General features: G+C 44.2%; 2 annotated features.

The window, feature by feature from the left end:
* Positions 5616-6409: an enhancer, noted in NCBI's record as "OCT4-NANOG-H3K27ac hESC enhancer chr6:35115441-35116234 (GRCh37/hg19 assembly coordinates)". NCBI's record gives its function as "activates a minimal SCP1, AML or CMV promoter by ChIP-STARR-seq in naive and primed H9 embryonic stem cells {active_cell/tissue: H9 hESC(naive and primed)}" and the evidence as "EXISTENCE:reporter gene assay evidence [ECO:0000049][PMID:30033119]".
* Positions 6410-7203: an enhancer, noted in NCBI's record as "OCT4-NANOG-H3K27ac hESC enhancer chr6:35116235-35117028 (GRCh37/hg19 assembly coordinates)". NCBI's record gives its function as "activates a minimal SCP1, AML or CMV promoter by ChIP-STARR-seq in primed H9 embryonic stem cells {active_cell/tissue: H9 hESC(primed)}" and the evidence as "EXISTENCE:reporter gene assay evidence [ECO:0000049][PMID:30033119]".

Raw genomic sequence — 10809 nt, forward strand, 5'->3', positions numbered from 1 at the left:
CGGGCGTGGTGGCGGGCGCCTGCATTCCCAGCTATTCGGGAGGCTGAGGCAGAGAATTGCTTGAATCCGGGAGGCCGTGGTTGCAGTGAGCTGAGATTGCGCCACTGCACTCCAGCCTGGGCAACAGAGCGAGACTCTGTCTCAAAAAAACAAAACAAGGCCAGGCGCGGTGGCTCGAGCCTGTCATCCCAGGGCTTTGGGAAGCCGAGGCGGGTGGATCACCTGAGGTCAGGAGTTTGAGACCAGCCTGACCAACATGGAGAAACCCCGTCTCTACTAAAAATACAAAATTAGCTGGGCGTGGTGGCTCATGCCTGTAATCCCAGCTACTCAGGAGGCTGCAGCAGGAGAACCGCTTAAACCTGGGAGGCAGAGGTTGCGGTGAGCCGAGATCACGCCATTGCACTCCGGACTGGGCAACAAGAGCAAAACTCCGTCTCAAAAAAAAAAAAACAAAAACAACCTTTGCCTTGTTAGTGTGGAGTGTGGATGTTTCTTGCACAACTCTTGGGTTTGGAGGGGGAAATTATAAAGACACCCAAAAGCATTTGTGCTTAAAAAAAGTCCATTCCACCTTGAGGCCCAGGCATATACCAGGGGAGTGGCCTAGCCAAGTTACTGTTTATCCAGAGCATCTCAGACTCATCCATACCAAACCTACCCCTTCCTCCTCCTCGCCCTCTCCTGCTATTTCCCTCAGGGATGCCAACTGTGAAGCAGGCCAGCCTTCACCCTAAAACCACCAGAAGTGGGAGGAAGTTGCATGATGACTTCAGCAAAGAGTTCAATGAAATATGATGCTTCCTTATTACATAGGGAGATATTTAGGCTGGGTTATTGATTTCTCTTTAAAAATGCAAATCAGGAATTCCATTTGGCATTTTTACTTCTGGGAAAGTTTCCAGAATAACACCAGTTCGTTTCCCCCACAAAAATTGCATTGCTGTAAAACTCCCTACTGATGTCTGAAATTCCTCTAACAATTCTTTCATATATGTTAAATTGTCTGTTTAAATATTCTCTTAATATTCGAATTGTCTGGGAGGGTCAGTGGGAAGAAATAGCAGTCCAGGAGCACATGGTAGTGTGAGAGGGGGGTGGGGGAGGGTGGAGAGTGGGGAGGGGACCGAAGCCAGAACAGGAGGAAAAGGAGGTAGCAGAGAAAGACAAAATTAGTTTTCCCAGGGTCAGCCCAGGTACAGCATTTCATGATCTTTATCATTAATAGTCATCAGAACCAACCAAGCAAAAGTTAGAGGTTGAGGGGAGTAGAAAGATCAAGTAAGAGATATGCACTTCTTCCCTTTGGGGTCTTAGTTAATAACTGATTTCTCTGTAATGATTTACAGAATGCTTTTACATCGCAGATCTATATGCTCTGCACACAATCTCATTCAGTAGGCAAGGCAGGTGTTATACTGGACTGTCTGAAAGGTGAACAAGCTGGGGATCAAAGAGGTTTCAGAGAGTAACCAAAAGTCACACAGTAAGCAAGATCTTGACTCTTGATCAGATACTTTTTCTTAATTCACATGACCTCCTTGACTCTGGTATCTATTATGTACACAATAAAATATAACATATAATGGCATGGTAAGTACTGGGGCCGGGGCTATGAACAAGAAGTGCTACCTGAGGACTGAGAAAGGGTGAAAGATCTTGCTAGTGTTTGGGTCAGTTCAAGCCCAGCCTTTAGCCAGGGTCCTCAGTAAGATTCTCTAACTCGGCTGGGCTCGGTGGCTCACGCCTGTAATCCTAGCACTTTGGGAGGCCGAGGCAGGCAGATCACCTGAGGTCAGGAGTTCAAGACCAGCCTGGCCAGCATGGTGAAACCCCGTCTCTATTAAAATACAAGAATTAGCTGGGCATGGTGGTGGGCACCTGTAATCCAAGCTACTCAGGAGGCTGAGGCAGAAGAATCGCTTAAACCCAGGAGGCAGAGGTTTCAGTGAGCTGAGATCGTGCCACTGCACTCCAGCCTGGGCAGCTGAGCGAGACTCTGTCTAAAAAAACAAAACACTCTTGGAAGCGAAGGCGGGTGGGGATCACTTGACGCCAAGAGTTTGAGGCCAGGAGTTTGAGACCAGCCTCGGCAACACAGCAAGACCCTGTAAAAAAAAAAAAAAAAGAAAGAAAAAAAATTCTCTAACTCATTTGGTCTTTGGTTTATGTTAGGCCTGGCTCTCCCTCAACCTCAGGACCCTCTTTAAACTCTTCTAATGGGTAAAACTGAAGTTTCTACGTATGCCCATTATTTAGCAGGAATGCCCCTCCTGGATAACTTCACACCTTTGCCCTATTAAAGTGCACATACCTCAAATGACCCATAATGCAAGTATTTCCAAGCAACCCAAGAACAGAAGAGAAGCCCTGTTTCCTCTTACACTGAAATATGACCAAAGTTGTCCAGCCCAGGGTTCCCTTTTTCTACCAAGATGTTGTATGACTTTTCTATTCATAATACATCCATTTGTTTTAATACTAAAGTCTATTTCCCTTCCTCAATTTTTTTTTTTTTTTGAGATAGAGACTCACTTTGTCCCCCAGGCTGGAGTGCAGTGGTACAATATTGGCTCACTGCAGCCTCGACCTCCTGGGTTCAAGCAATCCTCCTGCCTCATTCCTCCAAGTAGCTGGGACTACAAGTGTGTGCCACCACACCCTGTTAATTTTTGTATTTTTTGTTGAGACGGGGTTTCATCATGTTGCCTAGGCTGGTCTCAAACTCCTGAGCTCAAGCAGTCTGCCCACCTTGGCTTCCCAAAGTGCTGGAATTACAGGCGTGAGCCACTGCGCCTGGCCCCTCCCTCAAATCTTTGAATAGAATTCTTGTTCCAGGAGGAAGGGCTTCCTGTACTTGTTGGTACACCTCTGTATATCCCCATGGGTGCCTACAACCCAGTTTGAGAAGCAGTTCATGGTAATTTCAGGCCTGCAACTAGAATTTTCCTATTCTTCAACCATGTTCTCACATATGAGAGCTTTAACTCAAGCCCAGTAGTGTGGTCTATTCTCATTATTAAATACTATTCTGTGTACACTACCCCACAAAAGCACATTATGTAGAAAGTCAGTCCTATCCACAAAGACATTCTGAAAGAGGGGTGTATAAAGACAAAGATACAAGCGACATACTTGGAGGTGGCTGTAAGAGGTAGAGAATCACAGAATTTAAGAGGAATCCTGGATACAAATCTGCTAACTAAAACAAAACAAAAATGAAAAACCCCTCACTTTACAAAGAAACATTTTAGGCTCAGTGAGGTTAAATGACTTGGCTAAGGTCACCACCAGTTTATGGAAAATTCAGGACTAGAACCCATATCACCGTCTGTTTACTCTGTAATGTATAGAGGTATGCAAGAGTAAAAGCTAATACTGTAAATAAACATTTACATTTCCTAAAGAAAAATGTAAATGATAGGGCATGGAATGGAGAAAGTAAGGGATGAAGTTAAATAAAGGCCAAGATGCAAGTACAGTCGAGTATACTGGAAGATAAACAGTCAACTAAAGTGGTAGGGACACATAAATACAGGGTGGGACATTTAAATGGAACCATTTGGAGTCATGTAAACTCGGACTGACTTCATTATAGCCTCCCTTATGATACAGAACCGCACGTCAAAACTATTTGCTTTAGTCTTTTGACAAATGTGTTTTCTCCACAGAACCCAAGAGTAGGAGAAGGGTTGAGGGAATCTGGGGGCAGTCTGGAGGTGGTCCTTTGAAGCTGAATGTGAAGTGTGATGGATGGGAAAACCATTACAAATCTCTAAGGGAGGAGGCTCAAAGCGGAAGACAAAGAAGATTCTGGGAGCAATGTTTACTGCCTCCTTTTCTAGCCACATCTCACTCCATTAGCAACACCTCACAGGCTCTGCTCTTCCGACCTCAGGGTCTTTGCATATGCTGTTCCTTCCACCTAGCATGTTTCTCCCTGCTCTAAAAGCCCCTTTCGCCTCCCTGACTCTCATCCTTCAGAACTAGCTTACAAGGCCTAACTTCCTCAGAGGACCTTCCATGGCCCTCCATTAGCTTCTCTCAACACCCTGCATGTTTTCTCCATAGCACTCATCACATTTTGTAATCATATGTTTGTTGGCATACTTAACCTTTATTGAAATGTGACTCTCCCATGAGACTAAGCTTTCTGGGAGCAGGGACTGTGTGCATTTTATTCACTGTTGTGCCTGGGACATAATAGGTGTCCAATCAATAATTATGGAATGAATGAACAGGGGAGACTGCATTGTAAGGGGAGTGACAGAGAATGGGCCACTGCTCCCCTCACACACCCAAGATGTCAAGCAAAGTATCTCTCTCTGGATCCAGTCTCGGTTACCAGGGTCTGTCTTTCTCTTTTTGTCTCATAAGCATATAGCCATGTTTTTTCTCTTTCTGTGTCTCCTCTGTCCTTAGCTTCCTGAGAGAGCCTTTTAAACCAGCAAAGACAATGTCTGAGAGAAAAGGACTTTTGAGGCCCTGTGACACTGGAGTGCCTCCCACCCCCAATCAGAAGGTGGCAGCAGGGGGCAGTGGCACCATGGGAGTAACTTAGAACCTGGCTCCTAGATGAAGGAGTTTCTCTCTCTCTCTCTGCAGAGCAACCCAGGGTCAGCAGCAGCCGAAAGCCACAAAAACTGACTTTAAAAGTCCTCCTAAGAGCTGCATCTTTTGAGTCCCCAAAACAATCACGCCTTGTGCCCCAGGACACGGCGCGAGTTGCACACTTAAAGCAGTTTCCACAGAACCGCATTCAGTTGGTTTTAAACTCTGGGGAAAGCTGGCAGCCTCTTTGTGGGTTTTTTAAAAAACTAGTTAGAGGGACAATTAAACCTTTATGGGCCCCAGAATGTACCTATGCAGACATAAATAAGGATCATTCTTCATCACTGGAGAATCCACTTTCTGGCAACAGATATATTTTTCTGCCATTGCAGGACAGAGTTGAGCTCACGTCTGAGAACCTTTATGATTAAATGGGCAGGTGATGGGGGTTAGCATGAGCAGCGTTAGAACTTTGACCCTAAATTTGGCACAGGCCTTTTCTCAAAATGGATGTATCACAGGCCTTGGGCTTAGATGGTCTTAAATAAATCACATAAACTCCCAAAGCCTTTCCAGAAAGCCGCCAGGATTTTAGGCCAAGAAAACTCATCTTGCTCTCTCTTTGTGTTACTTCAGGCCAAAATGCTCCATTTGTCAAAGAATCCTGACTCTTTTATTCCCACTCTTAACAACACAATACAATGTATTCATATATTTACAGTGCAGTGCCCTTCAATGGTCCAGATGATTTTTTTAATCCAATAACATCATTAAATGCACCGGGGGCTCTCTTCTTAAAGAACTTTTGAGTAAACTCTTTTGTTAAGGGAAGCGATCTTTCATAAGGCAAATCATCAGTCTCCAATTTGTTTTCCAAATCTGAGATTTTCTTAAACCAGGGTCTACTTTAGATGATGGCTTGTGCATTTTCTTTTATTTTTCTGACTTTGGTTAAGACAAGCTTTTCCTGACTAGACATTATTGGGTAGGGATGAAGGAACCTCAAACACTTGAGAAATAAATCAGTTTCAGTCATTTGTGTCATCCATAATTCTTTAGAACCACCAGCTTAAAGCAAAGCATAATGATCTCCTGACAAAGAACCCAGCCGCACAGATTCGAGGGCCAGCCTATTTGAAGTCCATCTCAAAAGAAACGTGGGGGGAGGGTGTTTAGGACATTATTGTAGTTTTTTTGTGTGTGTGGCCAAGTACATGGCATAATATTTATCATTTTAACCATTTGTAAGTGTGTACAATTCAGTGGCATTAAATAAAATAAATTCACAATGGTATGTAATCATCACCACTATCTATACCCAAAATTTTTTCATCACCCCCAACAAAAACTCTGTAATCATTAAACAATAATTCCCTGTCCCTTGCTCCCTCCAGACCCTGGTAACCTCTATTTTATTTTCTGTCTCCATAAAGAGAGAACAGTTTTATACTCCAGTTTTTCTCTGGGACTTTTTTTCTTTCCACAGCGGTGTGGCGGGGGAATGGGGAAAGTCGTGGCCATCCTTTTTCACCTTGTAAGTCCTTCCCAGTGCCGCCTCTCCACTCCCCTTTCCTTCACCGACAGCGTCTCTAAGATGAAGCCAGAGCTCATTTGAACGGTTTAAACTTGCAGAGGGGCTACAGTCCCCAGCGGGAACAAAAGGAGGTCACTGGGTCTGAGTCTCTGTTACAAGCTCAGGAATGGCAGGAATTTTGTGACTTCAATAGTCTGAGGAAGTGGAACGCGACGAGCTAGATGGCTGTTTTGGTGTCTGAAGCCTATGTGGCCCCCTGTGTAGCACCAATCAGTTGCAGAGTTACTCACCTGAGATCTGTCAGGGCTAACAGAGATGGGATTGCAGTAAGAGGCATAGAGAGCTCCCTTGGGCACCCTCAAATTCCATGCTGTGGAATTTCTCATTGAAAAACACTGGCTAAGCCACTCACAACCTCTGCAGAATTTACATCTCTTGTACCCATTTGTGGCCAACAGAGGCACACTCAGAATGACTCATATCCTTCAGTTTGGGTTTGACTTTGCTCATAATGCTTGGAAACTCTCAAAGGAGCTAACCTCCCCCGTCTCCCCCACCCTCACACAACTCAGGATAAACAAGAGATTCAGCTTATGAAAAATCTGATTTTTGGTTGTTTCAAGAACTACTTGGGCACCCCCAGTCGCCCCTCCCCAACTTCCAGGACTGTGAGCCTGCTGAGGGGGCCCTTAGGACAACCATGGCAGGGTGATTCAATGGCTCAGAGAAACTGCAAACCATGGGATGGTGGAAGGATAGTCACCTTGAAGGCAGGAGGCATGGATTTCTTCTGCTTCCCACTTGCTAGTGACCCTGGGCAAGTCACGTCACAGCTCTGGCCTCATTTCCCTTATGTTGAGTGGAAGTGCCCTGAAACTCTGAGAATTTGGGAGTGAGGGGGTGGGGGAGCAAGGCTTTCTAATGTCTGGAACTCTTAAAACAGGGAACAAAACCTTTTGTTTCCCATAGGTGCTGACCTTAATGGAAAGAATGGTTGTAAGGAGGAGGAGGAGATTTGGGGAATGAGGAGAGTGGATGGGTGTTTTTAAGGTGTATTTTAGGATAGATTGAGAATTAAGTTTTGGCTGGATCTTTATGAGGAATTGTTCAGCAGGCATCTGGAAATAAGCACCTGGAGTTAAGAAGAGGGATTGGGACTGACAACAGGAATAGAGTCAGGAGTCATGGTTGATAAATGAAATGGTAATAATACAAGAGACATCTATCAAGTGCTTACCATAATGCTAGGACCTTGGGGAGCCCTTCACGTAGACATGTTCCTACCATACACACAACAACCCTATGACAAATATGTTGTTTTTACGCCACTTTACAGATGAGGAAAACTTAAATATCCCCCCAAGGCCATAGAGTGAGTAAGTGGTAAGCCAGGGTCTTGAACCCAGGGAGTCTGACTTCAGAACCCTTAACCTGACTTTTCTATCACCTTCTGAAGCTACAGTGCTGGAGAAGCATGGGAGAAAAGAAATACTAGTGAACAGAATCTTGACAAATACCTGTAACAAAGTACTCCTATACTTGATCAACTGCGACCTAAAATCAGATTCTGAGAAGATGAAGGGGTGGGTCAGAAACAGAGAACTATCCACTTCTATCTAGTGATGTTGGCAGTTGGGATGACTCTGCACAAGTTAAATAATAATGATACCCAAAATATATTGAGCACTCATTATATGCTAGGCACTGTACTAAAAGGACTTCACGTATAGTATCTCATTTAGTTATCTTACAAATCCTACATAAAAGCTACTATAGTGCCCATTTAACAGGAGAGGAAACTGAAGCTTCCAGAACTTAAGGGACTTAACCAGCTGGGAAATCTCAGGGCTGGGAACTCAAAGCCAAGCTGTGTGCTTCCAGAGACAGCTCAAGATTTGCCTCCCGAAAGCAGCCTTTCCTGACCGCCTCTCATAACAGACATGGAGTGAAACCTCTTGACATTCCTGATTTGTTTCGTGTTAAGATACTCCCTGGTTTGCAGTTAACGCCAATATTTGAAGTCAGTACGTCTGGAAGCTGTTAAAGCGTTATCAGCTGTCTTGAACTACTGTTTAAGTTTATTACGTGCACCTTCGAGTTAATTTAAGACAACTAGAATAAGCAGTAACTAATTTTTGGTCCCCCCGAGGCACGCCCAGCTGATTCCCACCACACCCAGTTCCATGGAGAAGCTTGATTGGTCCACAGGTTCTGTCTCCCTTACAGTGATTGGTTCAAATAAAAGCACGTGACCAAGTCAGGCCAACGAGGCACAAGGAGAGGTCAGCTGTAGCGGCTTCCGGCAAAGTCCCTCCTCTTTGTACTTCATCAGGAGTTTTTTGGAAAGTGAGGGTCCTTCCTGCTCCAGACTTTGTCCTGCTGGAGTGGGAGGCCGCCTGACTACCAGCTTCACTAAGCGTGGAGAGGCAGGGAGCCCCTGAAGCCCACCCTCCTGCCCGAGATTCCCCAGCATCCAACCAGTACATTCTTGTTGAAGCTGGTTTGTTTTGGGATGCTTGCCGCTCCCCACCCGCGCTGAAATGTGGGCACCATGAGGGCACGCACCCTGTCCGTCTCCACTGCTGCACCCCTAGCCCTTATACATAGCTGGGCACGGAGAGATACCTTATCATGTAGCTGAATGATGAACGAGTGAAGTCATGAATGAACCTAATATAAGCTCAGAGCGTGGCGGGGCGGGGCGGTGGGGATAGCTGGAAAACACCTTAAAATAATCTAATCCACATCTCTCTTTTCTAGTGTATAGTAAGAAAAGAAACAGGAGCTGCGTGTTAGAAAGTAGTTATTCTAACTAGGGCAAACACTCTCTAGTGCCATAATGAGGATCTTTGGTTACTGTAAGTCAAGCATCCCAGAGGGGCTCTGATGCCACGCCCGGTTCAAGTCGGAGAACAGGACACCCAGAAGGATCCAGCTAAATAAAACTTCAGCGTCAGTTGATGATAGAAATGGAGAGTTGGTAAGAAAGATACAAGATTTTGTATTCAGCATTTATTTTTTATTTTTTATTTTTATTTTTGAGACGGAGTCTTGCTCTGTCGCCCAGGCTGGAGTGCAGTGGCGCAATCTCCGCTCACTACAAGCTCCGCCTCCCGGGTTCACGCCATTCTCCTGCTTCAGCCTCCCGAGTAGCTGGGACTACAGGCACCCGCCACCATGCCCGGCTAATTTTGTATTTTTAGTAGAGACAGGATTTCACCGTGTTAGCCAGAGTGGTCTCGATCTCCTGACCTCGTGATCCGCCCGCCTCTGCCTCCCAAAGTGCTGGGATTACAGGCATGAGCCACCGAGCCCGGCTTTTTTTTTTTTTTTTTTAAGAACATACAATTTTTGTACTAGTTGATTAATGTTTAATGTTGGCTGTTTTGATGAATAAACTTTAGGAAACACACGGTTATGATTCCAGGGGCCTTTAGCATATAGAGCTCCATCTGCATCCCACTTTGGACTTAGGGGCGAGACTATGCAAAGCCTTGTTTGCTGGGAATGCACCTCTCTAAACATTCAAAATTGCAGAATGAAAGTTATGAAGCACTGGCAGACTTCACAACTCCCTTACATTCCATTCCATAGTTTGTCTATGCTTTTTACCAAATATTTTGTTTCCTTTTCTGAATTTCAGACATCCACATTCCACAGAGAAATATTTTCTTTTAAAATCAACTTTATTGAGGTATAATTTTCATAAATGTGCCAATTTTAAGTGTACATTTTGATGAGTTTTACAAATACATATATCCATGCAGCCACCACCACAGTAAAACAGAATATTTCCATCATCCCCAAAGGTTTCCTTGTCCCCGTTTGCAGTCAGTATCTGTCTCCTTATCCCAGGGCCCAGGCAACCACTGATCTGCCTTACCTGTTCTAAAACTTCATATAAATAGAATTGTACAATATGTAGTTGTATTTGGCAGGTAGAGCTGCCAAAAAATACCACAGACTGGGTGGCTTAAGCAATGGAAATTTATTTTTTACAGTTTTAAAGACTGGAAGTCCAAGATGAAGATGTCGGCAGGTTTGGTTTCTTCTGAGGCCTCTCTCTTTGGCTTGCAGATGGCTGTCTTCTGGCTGTGTCCTCACATGGCCTTTTCTCAGGACACACACATCTTTGGTGTCTCTTCCTCTTTTTATAAGGACACTAGTCCTATTGGGTTAGAGCCCCAATTCAATAGGTTCCTATTGGATTTGACTTATTGGCCCTTTGACTTCATTTAACTTTAATTACCTCTTTAAAGGCCCCATCTCCAAATACAGTCACATTGTAGGAAAGGATTTCAACTTACGAATTTTGCGAGGGACACAATCAGTTCATAACAGTAGTCTTTTGTGTCTGACTTCTATGACTCAGCATGTCTATGTGATTTATCCATGCCATGGCATCTATCAGTAGCTTGTTCCTTTTAATTGCTGAGTAGAAGTCTATTGTATGAATATATCACCGTTTATCCTTTTATCTGTTGATGGACTTTGGGCTATTTCTAGTTTTTTACTATTATGAATAAAACTCCTGTAAACATCCTAGTATATCTTTTTGTGGACATATATCTTAGTTTATCTTGGGTAAATATCCAGGAGTAGGATTACTGGATGATATGGTGTTTAATTTTGTAAGAAACTGTCAAACATTTCTCCAAAGTGGGTGTACCATTTTATATTTCCACCAGCAGTGTATGAAAGTTTCAGTTGTTCTACATCTTTAC

Source organism: Homo sapiens, chromosome 6 (genome assembly GCF_000001405.40).
Source record: "Homo sapiens chromosome 6, GRCh38.p14 Primary Assembly".
Taxonomy (NCBI): domain Eukaryota; kingdom Metazoa; phylum Chordata; class Mammalia; order Primates; family Hominidae; genus Homo; species Homo sapiens.